The sequence below is a fragment of the Homo sapiens genome, chromosome 22 (assembly GCF_000001405.40).
Source record: "Homo sapiens chromosome 22, GRCh38.p14 Primary Assembly".
NCBI classification, from domain to species: domain Eukaryota; kingdom Metazoa; phylum Chordata; class Mammalia; order Primates; family Hominidae; genus Homo; species Homo sapiens.
In genome coordinates this window covers 49,910,315-49,928,387 of record NC_000022.11, presented here as the reverse complement: position 1 = coordinate 49,928,387, position 18,073 = coordinate 49,910,315, and the positions used below count along the sequence as shown (strand labels likewise).

General features: G+C 57.7%; 2 protein-coding genes across 11 annotated transcripts in view, besides 9 other annotated features; one reads left to right on the top strand and one right to left on the bottom strand.

Annotated features, from left to right (window-relative positions):
* Positions 1-850: 850 nt before the first annotated feature.
* On the bottom strand, positions 851-9,754 carry CRELD2 (CRELD disulfide isomerase 2). 8 transcript variants are annotated; one of them, XM_005261737.4, is made up of 11 exons: positions 9,490-9,754; positions 9,076-9,158; positions 8,548-8,658; positions 8,141-8,232; positions 6,627-6,803; positions 5,945-6,094; positions 5,681-5,776; positions 5,071-5,154; positions 3,933-4,028; positions 2,831-2,971; positions 851-1,133 (listed from the first exon to the last, which is right to left on the bottom strand). In XM_005261737.4, the coding sequence occupies exons 1-11, from the start codon at positions 9,616-9,618 to the stop codon at positions 1,081-1,083; spliced, it is 1,212 nt and encodes a 403-aa protein (XP_005261794.1). In that variant the 5' UTR covers positions 9,619-9,754; the 3' UTR covers positions 851-1,080. The 8 variants fall into 8 exon arrangements, 7 of the variants coding, with proteins under 7 accessions (XP_005261794.1, NP_001128573.1, NP_077300.3 ...); NM_001135101.3 differs by having other exon boundaries at positions 5,945-6,091; NR_104295.2 differs by lacking the exon at positions 5,945-6,094 and having other exon boundaries at positions 4,928-5,154.
* Positions 2,318-2,447: an enhancer, noted in NCBI's record as "active region_19287". NCBI's record gives its function as "activates an Ori minimal core promoter by ATAC-STARR-seq in GM12878 lymphoblastoid cells {active_cell/tissue: GM12878}" and the evidence as "EXISTENCE:reporter gene assay evidence [ECO:0000049][PMID:35858748]".
* Positions 2,458-2,557: an enhancer, noted in NCBI's record as "active region_19286". NCBI's record gives its function as "activates an Ori minimal core promoter by ATAC-STARR-seq in GM12878 lymphoblastoid cells {active_cell/tissue: GM12878}" and the evidence as "EXISTENCE:reporter gene assay evidence [ECO:0000049][PMID:35858748]".
* Positions 2,658-2,737: an enhancer, noted in NCBI's record as "active region_19285". NCBI's record gives its function as "activates an Ori minimal core promoter by ATAC-STARR-seq in GM12878 lymphoblastoid cells {active_cell/tissue: GM12878}" and the evidence as "EXISTENCE:reporter gene assay evidence [ECO:0000049][PMID:35858748]".
* Positions 2,818-3,047: an enhancer, noted in NCBI's record as "active region_19284". NCBI's record gives its function as "activates an Ori minimal core promoter by ATAC-STARR-seq in GM12878 lymphoblastoid cells {active_cell/tissue: GM12878}" and the evidence as "EXISTENCE:reporter gene assay evidence [ECO:0000049][PMID:35858748]".
* Positions 4,458-5,027: an enhancer, noted in NCBI's record as "H3K4me1 hESC enhancer chr22:50317009-50317578 (GRCh37/hg19 assembly coordinates)". NCBI's record gives its function as "activates a minimal SCP1, AML or CMV promoter by ChIP-STARR-seq in primed H9 embryonic stem cells {active_cell/tissue: H9 hESC(primed)}" and the evidence as "EXISTENCE:reporter gene assay evidence [ECO:0000049][PMID:30033119]".
* Positions 4,684-4,883: an enhancer, noted in NCBI's record as "active region_19283". NCBI's record gives its function as "activates an Ori minimal core promoter by ATAC-STARR-seq in GM12878 lymphoblastoid cells {active_cell/tissue: GM12878}" and the evidence as "EXISTENCE:reporter gene assay evidence [ECO:0000049][PMID:35858748]".
* Positions 5,028-5,598: an enhancer, noted in NCBI's record as "H3K4me1 hESC enhancer chr22:50316438-50317008 (GRCh37/hg19 assembly coordinates)". NCBI's record gives its function as "activates a minimal SCP1, AML or CMV promoter by ChIP-STARR-seq in primed H9 embryonic stem cells {active_cell/tissue: H9 hESC(primed)}" and the evidence as "EXISTENCE:reporter gene assay evidence [ECO:0000049][PMID:30033119]".
* Positions 9,551-10,050: a silencer, noted in NCBI's record as "silent region_13929". NCBI's record gives its function as "represses an Ori minimal core promoter by ATAC-STARR-seq in GM12878 lymphoblastoid cells {active_cell/tissue: GM12878}" and the evidence as "EXISTENCE:reporter gene assay evidence [ECO:0000049][PMID:35858748]".
* Positions 9,950-18,073, top strand: part of ALG12 (ALG12 alpha-1,6-mannosyltransferase) — a 59,128-nt gene continuing 51,004 nt past the window's right edge. For all 3 annotated transcript variants that reach the window (XM_017028936.2, XM_017028937.2, NM_024105.4), the window contains exons 1-4: positions 9,950-10,125; positions 14,545-14,784; positions 14,871-15,003; positions 17,781-17,954. In XM_017028936.2, the coding sequence (XP_016884425.1) occupies positions 14,623-14,784; positions 14,871-15,003; positions 17,781-17,954 (469 nt within the window). In that variant the 5' untranslated portion in view covers positions 9,950-10,125; positions 14,545-14,622. The remainder of the gene's footprint in view (positions 10,126-14,544; positions 14,785-14,870; positions 15,004-17,780; positions 17,955-18,073) is intronic.
* Positions 10,161-10,360: a silencer, noted in NCBI's record as "silent region_13928". NCBI's record gives its function as "represses an Ori minimal core promoter by ATAC-STARR-seq in GM12878 lymphoblastoid cells {active_cell/tissue: GM12878}" and the evidence as "EXISTENCE:reporter gene assay evidence [ECO:0000049][PMID:35858748]".

The following is an 18,073-nucleotide window of genomic DNA, read 5'->3' as shown; positions in this document are numbered from 1 at the left end:
ACTCAGGAAGAGCCAGAGGCGAGATGCAGGGCCAGGCACCACTCAGCCTGCCCAAGTGGGCTGTGGCTGCCTCTGCGGGCCGGGGACCCACGGGGCAGAGTCCTACCACAGGGGCTCTTCCAATACCCAGGTAAGCGTGACCACCTGGGGCCCAGTGAGCATAGGTGCACTGAGATGGGGTTCGTGGGTACAGAACAGTGTGGACATGGAGGTCAGTAGTGCCAGGATGGTGCACGGCCTGGGAAGGGGGGGCCAGGGCAGGAGCAGGACAGCCACCTACCACTGGCGGCATCGGCGGGGTGGCGCGGGGAGGCGACAGGAGGGGCGGCGTGACTGAGGAGTGGGTGGTGGGGACCAGGCCAAGTGGGACTTGGGGGCTATGAGGAGCCCAGGGAGGAGGCCATGGCCCCCCGGAACGGAGCTCCCAGAGCCTGCAGCCTCTCACCCGCAGCCAGCTTTCTTCTTGCAGTGTCTTCATTCCCAGATGAGGAACGGGCAGGCCCTGCGGTTTGTGAGTGGCTGTTTCCTCCAGCGAAGCCCCCAAAGATGCTTTTCCCCTGCCTGAGGGTCCCTGCTTGTACATCCTTTGAATCACTGAAGAGGGCCCATAGGTTGGACCCCTGAAACCCACCTGGTCACGTCTTCAGGTTCTCGCCCAAGGCAGGGCCCTCCCCTCCTCCCCCAAGCGGCACGTGAGCCCTGTTCAGGGACAGCAGAGCCACCAGCCCAGGACCGGACCTGCTGCCTCTGCGGACCTCGGCAGCCCTGGTCACTCCCGGCTCTGGCAGGACAGGTGCAAACTCAGTGGTAAAGGTCCGTCCTGATTAATGAGACAAACCCACGCCCGTTCTCCTCCTGATTACCTACAATGGTCAATTTTATTACAAAGAACTGTATCAAAATATACAAGTCTGTTTAAGAACAACCAAGAAATGCAGCTGTTTAAGGGACAAATGAGAATCAACCGTTAGAGAGCAGGCAGCCTCTCCCCGCCGCTGTCCACTGCAGGAGACGGCATCCTCAGGGCCACATTTTCCACGGGACATCCTTCTGAATAATTTAAAGGGTAAGTCCGGCACATTACAGGTCTTCGCGGGAGGGCAGCTGTGTCGGGCTTTCTCCTTCTGTGGCTTCTGTCAGAAAACAAGCATAGGTCGTCAAGGCTGAGCACAAAGGGCCCTGGGGATGAGGCCTTTCCCAGGACAGCAGCGCATGTGCAGGGCCTGCCCGTCCAGTCCTGGCTCAAAGCCCCGGACGCAGCCATCCAAGGGCAGCTCGGAGACCCCCGTTTCCCACAAAGCAGATGAGAGATGAGGCAGACGGCATTTCAGAGCCCCCACGCTGCCGTGGGTGTGGAGGATGCAGAGTTGGGAGCGGCAAGGGGTTCCTTGCGGCCTGGCAGAATGGGAGCCTGAACAATGGTTGTGGCGGGAGGAGAAAGAGGGGACCGAGGGTGGGGGAGGTAGGAGAAAGAGGGGACTGAGGGTGGTACGGGGAGGGAGGGGCAAGAGGGGACCGAGGGTGGGGGGGAGGGAGGAGAATGAGGGGACGGGGGGGAGGGAGGGGCAAGAGGGGACCCGGGGTGGGGGGAGGGAGGGGCAAGAGGGGACCCGGGGTGGGGGGAGGGAGGGGCAAGAGGGGACCCGGGGTGGGGGGAGGGAGGGGCAAGAGGGGGGGAGGGAGGGGCAAGAGGGGACCCGGGGTGGGGGGAGGGAGGGGCAAGAGGGGACCCAGGGTGGTGGGAGGGAGGGGCAAGAGGGGACCGAGGGTGGGGGGAGGGAGGGGCAAGAGGCAGGGCCAGCCCAGGGCAGAGGGGACCGAGGGGGTAGCAGGCAGCCTTGTCTTCTGGCCTGTCCGTCTCTGCTAACCCCTCAGTTCTGTCTTGCTGTTGCTGTTTACTACGATGCTTCTAGATGTGGAATTGCTTTTATTTGTCCTGCTCAGGAAACAGCTTCTGGAATCTGAATCGTGCCTTATTCATTCTGAAAAACCCTTAGCCAATATCTCCTTGAACACTGCTTCTTTCCCACTCTCTATATTCTAGACTTCTGTGAGGACTGTCACGGGCAGATTTATGTCCCCCAAAACACGCTGAAGTCTTTACTCCCAGTACCTGTGATTGTGACCTTGTTTGGAAATAGGGTCTTTACCACTGGCCAGGTTAACATGAGGGCATTAGTGACTGGTGTCCTTACAAAGAGGGGAGGTTTGGACAGAGACAGACACCCGCATGGAGACCACGTGAAGACACGGGGAGCAGGTGGCATCCCCAGGCGAGGACAGAGGCCCGGAACAGACGCGCCCACCCAGCCTCCCAAGGAAGCAGCCTGCTTGCGTCTGGGCCTCTGACTTCTGGCTCCTGTGAGCGGCACATTTCTGTTGCTGGAGCCCTAAGTTCCTGGTTCTTGGTAAGGTAGCCCCAGGAAACAGGTGTGGGGGACCCGCTTGCCCTCCACCACTTCCTGCCTGTCCCTGTCTCTGCGGCACCCTGGGCAGCTTCCCCGGATGACTTTTCCAGCTCTTTAGCTGCCTCTTCTCCTGCGTCTGCTCCTCTGCTCATCGCCCGCTGAGGTCTGAGCTTCAGAGACTTCCCCCTTCATCGCCTGAACTTCCGTTTGAGCTGTGAACCTGGGGCTTCATCCTCAGGAAGCCAGTACCTCTCGCGCAAGCGTGCCCACACAGAGATGTCATGCACCTGTCTTCCGGGAATCCCCCTCTCACCATCTCAAGGCCACCATCTGTGTGGATTTCAGACCAAGCAGCCAGTCTACGTGCAAGCCCTGCGGCCCAGGGGAGGGCAGCCTGTGTGGAGGGCAGCCGTGCCACTCACCAGCCTCTGCCGGCGGCACACAGGCATCTTCCGTTTCTTCGAAGCCGTCAGGACACACACAGACGTAGCTCCCTGGAGTATTGTAGCAGTTTTCGTTTTTCCTCACACAGGTTTTTTCTGCTAGTGAGCACTCGTCCACATCTAAAATGAAAAGACTCCGTTTTAATAATTACTTTGCTCAGCAGACGCGCAGCGGATTATGAAATTCATTCATTCAGATTCATTCACATAAAGAAAGCACAACGATGACAAACGTCACGTTACAGAAAGGAGCAAAGATCAGGAAAGGCTTCGAGAGGGAAGAATTTCACGTCTCCAAGTTGGGCCCTCAACTGGTAGAAAATGCAGAGAAGAGACCTCCAGGTGGGGCCGGAAGGCCAGCATGCGCCCAGGAAGCCCACTTTCTTTTCCTTTTTTTTTTTTTTTTGAGGCGGAGTCTCGCTCTGTCGCCCAGGCTGGAGTGCGGTGGCGCGATCTCCTCTCACTGCAAGCTCCGCCTCCCGGGTTCACGCCATTCTGCTGCCTCAGCCCCCCGAGTAGCTGGGACTACAGGCGCCCGCCACCACGCCCGACTAATTTTTTGTATTTTTAGTAGAGATGGGGTTTCACCGTGTTAGCCAGGATGGTCTCGATCTCCTGACCTCGTGATCCCCCCGCCTCAGCCTCCCAAAGTGCTGGATTACAGGCATGAACCATGGCGCCTGCCCAGGAAACCCACTTTCTCCACCGGGTTCCATCCACGCCCAGGCTCACCCAGGCAGCCCACAACCATGGCAGGCCTGGACTTAAGCCTCGGGGCAATCGCCACCCAGGAGCTGGAGGGAGAGCAGAGGCGGTGGACCTGGGGAACGAGGCCACCGGCGAGAGGCTGGTGCAGCAGCGCCATCCACACCAGGGTCGGCCATGCAGAGCCCGTCCCCCACCCCCACTGCTTCTGTGTCTCACGTGGACCTCAGGGCGAGTGCACAGTGACCCTGGGGGAGCCACGTCTGCAGGACGGGTCTCAACTGCTTCCCATCCCTGGCAGTACCTGCTGGGGCCATTCACATCATGGTCACTTGGGAAGGGTCCACCAGCGTCCAGCACAGACCCCGTCACTGACCTGCACACTGTCCGTGCTCCCTCGCGTAGCCAGAGATACACTCTTTACAGTTTCCTGGGCCTTCCCCTGTGCAGCCCACACAGCTGGAGTCACACTCTGCAACAGGGAGCCAGCGTCAGACCCCGACATGCACAAGGCACCAGTGCCCGTCAGACCCCGACATGCACAAGGCACCGGTGCCGCCAGGATTTGGGTTTTCTCCTCATTCATCACCAAGTGACTTTATAACGATCTGTCTCTGTCTCCCGGCAAAAGCACAGACTCGCGTCCTGCTGTGCAGCAGGTGCTCCCGGAGAGCCATGGTGCAGACCACCTGGCTTGGAACTCTTTGGGAGAAACTGGGTGCTACAGAGATTCTAGAAACAAACCCACCTCCAGCTCGGTGACCATTGGTTTGCCAGCCTGCCAGGAGCTTCCTAAGAATAACCAGAGCCTCTCGCATGGCTTCCAGTATTAGTGGCTCACTGAGGGACCCACTGTCTGCACTCCCAACAGTGAAAACTGCCTGGGGCTGTCACACACACGGGGCAGAGGCGGCCTCCTCCCTGCTGCTGGGACTGGGGATCAGCACAACTTTTCTGGGGCACTATGGCTCTAAAAGACACATTCCCTTGACTGAGCGATTTGGAAATTAATCCACAGAAAATCATAAGGAATGTGAAAAGTTTACCTTCAAGTGTTCACAGTTTATAAGTTGAAAAACTGTTATGACGTAAACGTCCAGCAACAGACATTGTTGTAAAAGTATGAAATAATGGCTCCAAAATCATTAGCGTGACAGAGAAACCACAGGACGCAGAGACGTTCGCAACAAGCTGCTGAGTGGAAAACACCCGACAGGCGCTGCGGAAAGTCACGCAGGGCACGTTGCGGGGGCGCTGGGGGGGCACGAGCAGTGGAGGCACCAGCAGGGTGCGCTCTCCAGGGAGTTCCTGGGTTTTTAACTGTTTTCTTTTCATCTGACTTGAATTTTCTGATTTTCCTGCAGCAAATACCTATGACTTACTTTGCCACACTAAGTGTTCTCAGGGCAGGCAGGATGTATGGAAGTGACACTAAGAAGCCATAAATGAATGTTGACAAAGGCAGCAACGAAACCCGGCAGGCCCCGGAGTGCAGACCCGCCCGCCTGGCCCACCTTCGCACGTGTAGGAGCCGTTGGCGTTCTTACAGAACTGCGCAGCGCTGCAGGGAGGCGGCTCGGCCGCACACTCGTCCACATCTGGAACAGAGCGGCACAGCTGTGAGCGGCCCAGGACAGCCCGGCCAGGGAGCGGGGAAGGACCGATCATGGCCTGACACAGCCCGTGGCCAGGGCCGGCTGGGGAAGGGCAGGGAGGAGGGCAGCCCCTGAGGAGGAATCATCTCAAATGCCATCCTCGGAGGCCCCACGCGGCAGGGGAGGGGATGAGGCGATGGCCAGGCCCTGTCCTTAGACACTCAGTGCCAACCGGGGCAGGCGCCCCATGAGGATGGCGACACATTGTGTGAGAGTGAGACAGTGAGTGCCCCCACACCTCACGCCCCCACCTCACGCCCCCACACCTCACGCCCCACCTCATGCTCCCCCACACCTCACGCCCCCCACACCCCAAGCCCCACACCTCACGCCCCCACCTCACGCCCCCACACTTCACGCCCCCCTGCCTCCCGCCCCCATGCCTCACACCCCCCACGCCTTACGCCCCCATCTCACACCCCCCACGCCTCACGCAGGCGCCCTCCTCCACCCCCGGGCCGCTCCTCACCCACACAGGCGCCCTCGTCCAGCACCCAGCCCACTTCACACTCGCCGCAGTCTCTGTTGGTCAGGCCCGAGCACGTCTTGCAGGACTCGTCACAGGCTGGAAGGCAAAGGCGGGCCTGGGTACAAACCCCACTCTCAGGTACCAGCTTGGGGACAAGGCTCGTTTAAAAGTGAGGAATTTAAGAGGGAAAAGCAACACGGGATTTTCAGTGCCCATGAATTTAAAATTCTCAGCAAACCAGGACTCCAAGGAATTTTTAATAACCTGGAGAGAAGGCAGCTATCCATACTCTGGAGCTGTAGCCTGGCTGGGTGTGCGTGTTCCGGCCACGGATCCATGCGTGGCCCACGCCACGCCAACATCCAAGAGACAGACAGCAAGGCGGGTAAGAATCGGAGAGGCCGGTCCTGACTGCTGAGGGGCGTAAGAATCGGAGAGGCCGGTCCTGACTATCGATCCACGGGTCTGTCTGCCCAGAATAGCCTAGGGGCTGCCGGCCAACCACACACTCACGTCCGAGACACTCAGAGTTTTCCTACATATCAGTGACAACCAGGGAGAAAACGTCCTTTGGAAAGATGCCACTCATAACGGCCTGCAGGGATTTGACAGATGCTGCTCTCTGGGCCGGTGCGGGGCCCACACGGCACCTCCAGGACCTGTGCACTGCATGGCCCATCACAACTCAAGGTCGGGGTGGACCTTGAACTAGAGAGAAAGGTGAGTAGCTTCTCCCTTCTGAGGGCTGTTACGGGACAGGAAGTGCCCGACAACCTCTGCCTCTATCCTCTGATGTTTTCATTCATCCTTCTGGGCCCTCGAAGCTTCCTTGGACATCTGGGGTTAAAGATCAACAGGCCCCTGTTCCCATCTAGGCAGGCAGCTCCAGCAAGGGGCTCTTGTCATCCCGCCTCAACCCCGGGGCCAGCCCAGGCGTAGCCCGTACCTGTGCAGATGCTGTGGGTCTCGTTCCGGAGCGAGCTGAAGTAGCCGTCCATGCAGTCAGTGCACAGCGGGCCCTGGTACCCCATGTGGCACCGGCAGGACCCGTCGCCCTGTCTGCTCCCATCTCCGCTGCAGTGGCCATTCCCGCTGCAGGGCCTCTGGGATCCGCCCTGGCATGCTTTAGGGGACACAAAACCATGCTCAGAGCACACCTGGTGGTGACCGGTGCGGTGTTCTCACACGGAGAGAACGCATGGCACCCAAACCCTGTACGATTCTGAGGACGTACATGAGCCTGAAGGCTTGGAGTGGGTGTTTGGGGAAACTGATTTCCTGGGTCTGCAGGGCTGGCGGTGGATCGCCTGAGTGGAGCAAGCCACAGGCTCCTGGGCTTCACTATGGCCACGTGCTGCATGATGACGTTTAGGTCAACAAGGGACCCTGCATAGCACAGCTGTCCCCTAAGATGATACTAAAGCTGAGCGGCTCTTATTGCCTAGTGACATCACAATGTGCCTCATTACCTGTTCTATGTTTAGATGTGTTCAGGTGACACATTCTTACCACGTGCCAAATGGCCCACAGTACTCAGGACCCTCACGAGCCGTGCAGGTGTGCGGCCTGGGAGCAGCAGGGCCTGCCAGGCAGCCTAGGTGCAGAGCGGCTGCACCATCTAGGCGTGTGGCGTGTGGCGTGTGGAGTGCACGCTGTGATGTTTGCACCATGACAAAGTCGCCTAATGACGCATTTCTCAGAACACGCCTGGTCGTTACACATGACTGCACTTTGTGTGGCTTTGGGCAGCCTCAGCTGAAACATGGTGATAGGGACACTGACGCGTCAGGCGCGGGGACTGCAGGGAGAGTGGGAACATTAGCTGCGGCCTCCAGTGCATGCCAGGGACAGCAGCAGGGGCTGGCAGAAGGCTGATGGTGGGCGGGTGGGGGGTCTGAACCTGAAACTTCTGCTACCTGATCTCGCTTGACCACGAGATTGGCTTTTATAAACAGTAAACCGTGACTTCAGTTTCAATGCACACTTCTTCACAGAAGAGCCCTGTCCCTTGGCACCCATTGGGGCTCAAGGCCATGTGCCCAGCCTGATAGACACCCAGTGCCCTGCGCTCTCTGCAATAGCAGCCACAGAAGTTGTGGTGTGGTCACCTCTGTGCACACAGGGAGAAGCACCTGGACAGGTCAGTCAGGACAGACTCTCAGGTGAGTGGACTCAGCTGTGAACAACCTGAGTCTGTGAACCCCTGAATTAACAGCACAGCTGGGAAGACATACTCAGAGTTTTACGCTAAAGCATGAGGTTAGTGGTGAGGCTGCAGCCAGACGGTGCGAAGTGCTCCAAGCTGTGTTGGGGATGGGGGAGGCAGCCATCCGGCAGGGTCCCAGACCCTACAGAAAGCTGATGCACCCCAGGTCCCCTCTGTGCTTTTACCTCCCAAGAATCATGAGAAGAAGAGGGGAAGTGACGTAGGAGATGGGATTTCCCTGAGGAGAAACGCACCGAGACAGTCGGGACCGTAGGTTCCTGGAGAGCAGCACACTTTCAGTGTCTTCACACAAAACCACTCGAATAAGTCAGGATATTCGCTCTTCCTGAGGATGGAGGAAAACATTCACTGAATCCCAGCAGACACGGTTCTTTAAAACAAACATGCAGCTGAACGTAACATATGCTCTGGAGTATTGTAAGGTCCAGGAAACAAGAGTCTAGGTGTGGACAGAATCTTCTCCTTAATTTCCTGGTTTTGATCGCTGACTCTGGTGATAAAAAACGGTAATGCAGGGGTAAGGTGGGTGCGAGGCAGGTGGGAGCTCCCTACTGTTCCTGTACCTTTCTAAGTCTGAGGTTATTTCAAATTCTAAGTTGGAAAATAAAAAGTATCTTCTAAGAGGTTTTAAGGCACTCACAGCTGCAGCCACCAGGCCTCCAGGTGCTCCTCCTGCGCCTCTAGCATCTGATTGCATTCGAAGTCGCTGCTCTCGCACAGCCCCTCCAGGATCTCCAGCAGGCGAATCTCGCTGAAACACAGGCCCACACCGGCCCACCGTCAGCGCCTCCAAGGCAGTGAAGAAAAATCCGAACCAATACGCCAACCTGGGTGCAGGGGCCGGGGAGCCAGGACTCCGGGCACAGAGAATAAGGGGACCCCACTGTCAGGGGAAGCCAGGAGCGGTTCCCACAAGTGGGGCTGGTGTTCCAGTTTACATTTTGAAAAGCCACTGTCTGTTGAGGGGGTAGGGACCAGAGCAGAAGCTGGAAGGCCAGAGAGGGGCCAGCCATTAGTCCTCAGGGAGAAGCCGAGGTGACTCGGACGGGTGACTGGTGCCTCGGGGGCTGTTCTGTCTCCCTGTCATTAACACAGGCACCAAAGGCAGGACACGACTTCCCAGGACAGCGCCAGGCCAAGACCCACAGGGGTGCTCCAGGGCACCCACCTGGACTCGTACTTGGACAGCGTCTTTTCCTCCCAAGCCGTGTTCCCGCCGCCAAAGTTCTTCTTTGCGGTGTCCACCATCCCCTGCGAGGAGACAGTGCCCATAGTGCTTGGTACCACCTGACCCGGGTCCAGGGTGGGGGCGAGCCCAGGTCGAGGGTGAGGGGACTCCAGGCCCACGGTGGCGTCGACCCTGGTTCCACGGTGGGGGTGGATCCGGGTCAAGGGTGAGGGGGACTCCAGGACCACGGTGGAGGGACTCTGGATCGACGGTGAGGGGGATCCCGAATCCAGGGTGAGGGGGACCCCGGATCCAGGGTGAGGGCGACCCTGGGCCCAAGGTGGGGCGACCCCGGATGCAGGGTGAGGGGGACCCCGGGCCCAAGGTTGACGACCCCGCCCGGCCCCTTCCCACCTGGTTAAACTTGTCCACCAGCCCCCGGCACCGGTGGCAGGGCGTCGGCTTCTTGGCGGCCTCCGGCGCGGGCGGCAGCAGCAGCAGAAGCGGCAGGAGCCCCAGCGCGGCCCGGCGCGGCAGGCGCATGGCGGGTAGCGCTGCGGGAAGACGCAGCCGGAGCTCCAGGTCCTGCGGCCGTGCTGCTCCGGCCTCCCGGCCGCCCACCCGCTCCCAGCCGCGCCGGCCTGTCCCCCAGGCTACTTGACGGCGCCGGCGAGGCCCCGCCCCACCCGCCAGCCCCGCGCCGCTATTGGTTGATGGGACCCGCCCCGGCCTGATATGGCCCAATCCGAGTTCGCCACGAGAGGTGACCAATGGGAAGGCCCCGGATCAGCGGCCGCCAGGAGTCCGGGGGCGGGGCGTGCAGGTCCGACCCCGCCTCCCGCTCCCCGCCCCTCGCGCGCAGCCCGCGGCGGCCATCTTTACTCAGGGCACAGAGGGTCTCTGCGGCCGTAGCGGCCGGGGCTGCGGTAGCCACTTTAGATTTGGGCAAGGACTTTAGATTCGGGCTCTGTTCTGTTTCCGCCGTCCTGCTTCCTGCCGAGGCTGGCCCAGGCAGCCGCGCTTCGAAGGACGCCGCCGGGAGCTGCGGAGGTCAGTGCGCGCTGCCGCGACCGGGGCCTTCAGGCGGGCGCGCGGCGAGACCAGGGAGGAGGCGGGCGAGGGCGCGACCCGAGCTGGCGCTGGCGCTGGATTCCTGAGGCCTCACCGCGCATGTCCACGCGTCACAGCCCCGTGCTCCTTACCTGGGGCTGCACCCCTCACTTGGGGCCGGGCTCCTCACCTGGGGCTGGACCTGTCACCTGGGGGCCAGACCTCTCACCCGGGGGCCGGACCTCTCATCCGGGGGCCCGACCTCTCACCTGGGGCTGGACCTCTCACCTGGGGCCGGGCTCCTCACCTGGGGCCGGACCTCCCACCTGGGGGATGGGTTTTTCACCTGGGGGCTGGGGATCTGGGGTCCACTTAGGGTCTCTGGGGGCTGGGGATCTGCATTTCTACAGGCGCTTGAGGTGATGAACACTCGCTCATGTTCAGGAACCCCTGGTTTAAATTAGGGGAAATAAAACGTGCAGCGTCTGGATTTCAGAGAACTCCTGCCTGTGGAAGGAAGGAGTGCAGATAACACTGCACATTTAAAAAAAAAAAAAGTAACATCTGATTTGACCAGTTTCTTTTCTGTTTTTTTGAGACGGAGTCTCACTTTGTCGCCCAGGCTGGAGTGCAGTGGCGCGATCTCAGCTCACTGCAAGCTCCGCCTTCCAGGTTCCTGTGATTCTGCTGCCTCAGCCTCCTAAGTTGGGATTACAGGCACCCACCACCAGGTCCGGCTAATTTTTGTATTTTTAGTAGAGACGGGGTTTCACCATGTTGGCCAGGCTGGTCTCGAAGTCCTGACCTCAAGCGATCTGCCTGCCTCAGCCTCCCAAAGTGCTAGGGTTACAGGCGTGAGCCACCATGCTTAGCCTGATTTGATCAATTTCGGTAGAGGCCTTAAAATCTGGATTGATGGGGACAAGAGGGTCTTTGCAGGTCATTCCCTAATCTGAGATGCCATTGTTCTGTAAACCACCATTTTAAAGTGTCATGGCCTGGGCCCGTTTTAACCTGTGGGTGCTCTCGAAGCACCCGTCACTTAGATTAGCCACAGCTGCTGCCCAGCTGCCCAGCAGAGTGGGCTAGTGCAGGACAGTGTCCGTTCACCCTCGCCTGGTGGGGGGTTCGTCGTGGTTTTCGTGCTTGCTGGTGTTGACTTGGTCTTCCCGTGCTCCTGGCAGAGAATCCAGACTCACCCTTGGTCTTCTCATGCCCTCGAAAGTGAGCTGTGCTGGTCATCAGCAGAAGGCACACCTTGTTGGGTCCGAGGAGGTGCTGGGGGCCCGCCAGGAGTGTCAGAGTCAGCACGTAATGTTTTCACCCCACAGCTGAACTCTTCCTTGCTGGGGAACTCCCCTGGGTGGAGAGGTGTGGAGTGGGGTTGTGGGGGACTGCCAAGCAGCACTTGCTGTGTGCACCTCCCACATCTTGGCACGTAGATGCTCCCCGTTCCGTTTTATTTTTTATTTTTGTAGAAATGGGGTCTCATGATGTAGCCCAAGTTGGTCTTGAACTCCGGGCCTCAAGCAGTACCCCCCATGTCAGCTTCCTGAGTAGCTGGGATTATTTTTGTGGAGATGGGGTCTGGCTCTGTAGCCCAGGTTGGTCTTGAACTCCTGAGTAGCTGGAATTACAGGCGTGAGCCAACACATCCGGCTTGCTTCCTATTTCTTTTTTTTTGAGACGGAGTCTGGCTCTGTTGTCCAGGCTGGAGTACAGTGGTGCGATCTTGGCTTGCTGCAACCTCTGCCTCCCGAGTTCAAGCAATTCTCCTCCTCTGCCTTCCAAGTAGTTGGGATTACAGGCGCACACCACCATGCCCAGCTAATTTTTGTATTTTTAGTAGAGATGAGGTTTCACCATGCTGGCTAGGCTGGTCTTGAATTCCTGACCTTGTGATCCACCCACCTCAGCCTCCCAAAGTGCTGGGATTACAGGCATGAGCCACCACGCCCGGCCGTTGGAACATATTTTTATTTAATTTAATTAATTTATTTATTTATTTTTGAGATGGAGTCTTGCTCTGTCGCCCAGGCAGGAGTGCAGTGGCGCGATCTCGGCTCACTGCAAGCTCCACCTCCTGGGTTCACACCATTCTCCTGCCTCAGCCTCCCAAGTAGCTGGGACTACTCGCCACCACTCCAGCTAATTTTTTTGTATTTTTAGTAGAGACGGGGTTTTACCATGTTGGCCAAGCTGGTCTCGATCTCTTGACCTTGTGATCCACCCGCCTCAGCCTCCCAAAGTGCTGGGATTACAGGAATGAGCCACCGCTCCCGGCTGCTGGAATTTTTAATAAGCACGTGAGCTGGTGTGATGAGAACCCCATGTAGGAGTTTTTACCGATTTCTTCTTCGGCAGCCTTGTTGAGTGCCTACTGTGCGGCAGGCTTTGCTGATTCAGCAGTGAGTCCACCAAGCAAGCCCTGCCCGCAGGATGAGTCCAGCAGGGGAGGTGGCAGCGAGGCAGCCTTCAGGCCACAGCGGCTGGCCTCTGTCCTTGGTGCTGAGGCTGCGCTGGTGGGAAAAATCATCCAGCATCAAAAACCCCCCACCGTCAAAAAGCTTGTGTCTTAGCAAGTGGGAGACAGCTGAGTGGGCCCTCCCTCAGTTAGTGATTCCTAACCTAGTCCTTCGACCTTTCTCTTTGTTTGATACCAAGTTTATTTTTTTAAATTTTTTTATTATCTATTTATTTATTTCTGAGACGGAGTCACGCTCTGTGGCCCAGACTGGATTTCAGTGGTGTGATCTCGGCTCACTGCGGCCTCTGCCTCCTGGGCTCAAGCGATTCTCCTGCCTTAGCCTCCCGAGTAGCTGGGATTATAGGCGTGCACTACCATGCCCAGCTAATTTTTGTATTTTTAGTAGAGACAGGGTTTCACCATGTTGGCCAGGATGGTCTTGATCTGCTGACCTCGTGATCCACCCACCTCAGCCTCCCGAAGAGCTGGGATTATGGGAATGAGCCACCGCACCTGGCCCTCAGCCTCCCAAAGAGCTGGGATTACGGGAATGAGCGACCGCGCCCGGCCCCAGGTTTTTATATTTGGCAAAGGAGAGAACTGCATACCATTTCAGTCGTAAAATTATTAAAGCTTTCTTTTTTCTTTCTCTCCACCCCCTGCCCACCATATCAAATAGGGTTCTCCTTCCTTCTAATCTACAGATTTTCCTTTGGTTGCCATCTTTGTATACTTCTTAACTCTCCGTTTGATCAAAAGATAGTTTTGGCTGGGCATGGTGGCCCACGCCTGTAATCCCAATACTTCAGGAGGCCAAGGTAGGAAGATGGCTTGAAGCCAGGAATTCCATACCAGCCTGGGCTACAAAGCAAGACCCTGTCTTTACAAAAAATAAGAAAACTTAGCTGAGTGTGGTGACCCACACCTGTAGCTGCGGCTACTCAGGAGGCTCAGGCAAAAGGATCCCAGGAGTTTGAGGCTGCAGTGAGCCATGATCACTCCACTGCACTCCAGCTTGGGTGACAGAGTAAGACGCTGTCTCTTAAAAAAAATTTTTAAAGTAGTTTTAATAAATGGTAAGCCCTGGGGTTCTCTCTCCCTTTGCTTCTGGCCCTTCTGGTTTGGATTGAATAAAATCAAATCTGTTTTAAAAGAAGCCAGAAACGTGAAGAGTTTGCCCCCTCCCCTCCCTTGGTCTCTCACGTGTAGCAGCTGGACATGTTGCTGGCCTCTCAGGAAGCTCCGTGCCACGGGCCCCTGAGGTTGTCCTGTTAGTGTTTGGGGGACCCATTGCCAGTCTTCCCAGGCTCACATGCAGGCTCATGGCCAGTGTGGTGCCACCTTTGGGAAAGCCGGCCATGGCTTCTCCCAGCCCCCAGGGTGGGGTTCGGCGCAGGCGTCCACAGCCCCATCCCACCATTCCTGGGAGCGGGGGCTTTGCTGGCCACTCGAGCCCTGTGTCCCAGCAGCTGTACTACGTTCAGTTTCTTGCCCTCCCGGGGCCCCTGTCCACCACTCTCCAGCTTGGTGCCTCCCACCCAGCTAACTGGCACCCCTCAGCCTCCCATTCCGTCTTCTTCAGCCGGTTCCCTCGGGGCCAAGCCTGGGTTTTGCTGACTCTCCTGCCAGATTTAGACTGGGGGGCAGGGGCCATTTACCACCCTCCATTGCCCTCGTGGCCCAGGCCTGGTCAGACTCAGGGTTCTGCGACTGAGATCCTTCTGCCTAGAAAAACATTCACAGAGCTGGAAGTGTCAGATCACTGGTTACAGTATGAAAGATTCTCAAGTGTGATTTTTTCTCCAAACTTTCCATCTTGATGCGTTTTCAGATTTGTAGTAGTGCGACTAAGACAGTAGTTCAGAGAATTCTGCTAACCCTTTACCCGGATCTCCCAAACGTGAGCGCAAGCGTGACTTTCGAACCTCAGGAATCTGTTTCCACTTTTCCAGCATGCGTGGAGTGGCAGTGCTAACGGCTGGTGTCTCGCACTGTTGGCCTGTGAAGGTACGTGAAGCTGAAAGCCTGGAATGGCTGGAAAGGGGTCATCAGGCAGGCGGCCCCTGCTGCTGGGGCTGCTGGTGGCCGTAGCCACTGTCCACCTGGTCATCTGTCCCTACACCAAAGTGGAGGAGAGCTTCAACCTGCAGGCCACACATGACCTGCTCTACCACTGGCAAGACCTGGAGCAGGTGAGGGGCCCCTGCTGTCTTTGGGGAAAACCTCATGTTACCAGCTGGCAGGGCCCCGGTGCACTGACCTGCCCTTCTCCTCGCAGTACGACCATCTTGAGTTCCCCGGAGTCGTCCCCAGGACGTTCCTCGGGCCAGTGGTGATCGCAGTGTTCTCCAGCCCCGCGGTTTACGTGCTTTCGCTGTTAGAAATGTCCAAGTTTTACTCTCAGCTAATAGGTAAGGGGGTCTTCAACAAAGGAGGAGGGAGTGAGGGACTGTGGTGTCATCGGGTGACCTCAGCGAGGCCGCGGTCCCTCCTGCCCAGGAACGCTGTCTGTTAGTCTTGCCTGCCCTCGATCACCGTGGCATGGCGGCTCAGAGCAGGTGCTCAGGTCAGGCCTAAGACGTCTGAGTCAGCCCCTCTGTGCCTCCACACTCTTGACTGTGAAATTAGGGGTGACGGCAGGTACAAGAGAAATGCCGACTGCCTGTGAGGCAGCTCTCGCCACCTGAGCCTGCTGCTCCCGCCTCACCTGGCAAGCCCCCATGGGGTCAACAGCCTTTATTCCTGCAGAAGCAGCACCATTTGCCTTGGGGAATGTTACAAACAGAAACCTCACATTCCCAGAGGCCACCACTGCAGGGCCTGTGTGCAAATCCTGGGTCTTTCTCTGTGCCCACATGAGGACTTTAAAAAAAAAAAATTAGAACGTTTTGTACATATTGTTCTAAAAACCGATTTTTTTTTCTTTTTTGAGACAGGGCCTTGCTGTGTCACCTAGGCTGAAGTGCAGTGGTGCAATCATAGCTCACTACAGCTTTGAACTCCTGGGCTCAAGTGATTGTCCCACCTCAGCCTCCCACAGTGCTGGGATTACAGGCATGAGCCACCACGCCCAGTCACACAACCTGAGTTTTTGAAGTCAGCAATCACCACTTTTTTATTTCAGTACGCTTTTATTGCTTTTAATACCCAGACATGCTTCCAGCGAGTCAGTCCAGCTTGTGTGGAGAGCTTTAAGAAGTAGCACGTTCCTGGGGAAGGAGCAGTTCTGCTTCTTGAAGGGGCAGATTGGGAACGGAAACCCACCATGGCACGGGGACAGCTGGACAAGCCGTGCATGTCCTGTAGAGGCATCAGGAAGCCCCAAATGGGGAGGAGTTGGGGGGCCACGAGCCAGGGAAAGGAAGTCCACAGGCAATTCCGGGGCTGAGTCCACATTCCCTTGGAAGCTTCTGCTTATTCCAGGGTTGGCAGCAAGAGGTTGGGAGGTTGGGCAGAGCTGGGTGGACTCCAGCTGGACAGAACCTTGGAGGGCTGCAGCTTCAGCTGGTGAACGGGAGCCCACCCTGTGTCCTTCCTGATCCCACTAAGGTGACCTGGAATTGCTAGTGCCCCCCCCAGCCCCTGCCACAGGCCAAAATCCTTCCTCTCTGGATGAAGAGCATGTCATCCTGGGGCCGAGGGTGATCCCGGGGCCGAGGGTGATCCTGGGGCCAGGCTGATCCCGGGGCCGAGGGTGATCCCGGGGCCGAGGGTGATCCCGGGGCCAGGCTGATCCCGCGGCCGAGGCTGATCCCGGGGCCGAGGGTGATCCCGTGGCCGAGGCTGATCCCGGGGCCGAGGGTGATCCCGCAGCCGAGGCTGATCGTGAGGCCGAGGCTACCCTTGTTGGGCACGGGGTTGAGATTGTTGGGCATTTGGGAAGATGGAAAACCAAGAGAAGAGACGCAGGGGATGGACCTGATGGGGAAAAGGGGAAGCGGGGCTTTGCTGGGGTCTGTGAATTGTTTAAAAGCCCGGGGGAAATTCCAGCACCAAAAATACAGCAGCTGGAGCCAGACCCACTTGTGAGTATCAGTGAAAAATGTCCTATTAAGACATTCAGACTGGGCATGGTGGCTCACGCCTGTAATCCCAGCACTTTGGGAGGCCGAGGCGGGGGGATCACCTGAGGTCAGGAGTTTGAGACCATCCTGGCCAACATGGGAAACCTTGTCTCTACTAAAAATACAAAAATTAGCCGGGCGTGTTGGCATGCGCCTATAATCCCAGCTACTCCGGAGGCTGAGGTAGGAGAATTGCTTGAACCCGGAAGGCAGAGGTTGCAGTGAGCCGAGATTATGCCACTGCACTCCAGCCTGAGCAACAGAGGGAAACTCTGTCCTTAAAAAGAAAAAAAAAAAGACATTTGCAGTCCGAATCCAGCAATCAGTGAAAAGAAAATGCCTGGTATGCACATGGGGTATTCTGGGAACAGCAGGTCCAGCCCTCAGACATCCGTGGCCCCCTTGGCAGTGCCTGGGTATCTCTGCCCATTGGCCCCCACAGCTGCCTGGACCCAGTTGCTTCTCACATGGCTTCGAAGTTCCTCTGGCCTTCTGGAAAGGTAGCAAGAGCCACCCAGAAGTTCATTTTTCTTCCTGTTTTCAGTCTCTTGCCAGCGGCTGACAGGCCGGTCCACGGTGAGGATGTGTGGTCGGCTGGGTACTGTCCTGGGCACACCTGCCCCCTCACCACCTCCTCATCAGACCACCAGCCCAGAGGTGGCTCCTGCTGTCAAATGGGGAGAGGGGTCCTGACCCCCTTCCTGCCTGGGAGCCTGTGTTCCTGCCACATCCCACCTCCTCATGGCTGCTGGTTAGAGCAAGGTCTGAGCCCGGCCTTTGCAAACATTTCCCCTGGAGATGCCACAGCCCGGTGGGGTCTCTGGTTTAGTGTAGGGCTCAGCTCGTGGCACCCCCAAGTTGTGTGTCCTCCCTCATGCTTCAGAGAGCAGCCCCCGCAAGGGTCCTCAGTTCCCGACAGGAGCGCAGGGGGCCTGGGTCCAGTCGTCTGTTTTCAACATGGAGACGATGCCCTCAAGGCTGCTTTGCCTGACGTAGCCGTCAGCTGGCATTGCAGCAGCATAGAAAACTCCATATAGAAAGATCTGTGTAGAAGGACCCACGTAGGGGGCCCCACTGGATACTCCTCCACTGCAGGCTCAGGTGCTGTCACTGTCTTTGTTTAGTTAGAGGAGTGCTTGGACTCGGCGTGATTTTTGGACTCTGGACGTTACAAAAGGAAGTGAGACGGCACTTCGGGGCCATGGTGGCCACCATGTTCTGCTGGGTGACGGCCATGCAGTTCCACCTGATGTTCTACTGCACGCGGACACTGCCCAATGTGCTGGCCCTGCCTGTAGGTACGTAGCTGCCGGCCGGGCCTGCACACCCATGGTGCCGGGCAGGGGCTCCCCTGAGTCGGGCTGTGCAGCTGATGGCAGTGCCTCCCCCGTAATGGCCATTCCCCACTGGGTTCCTC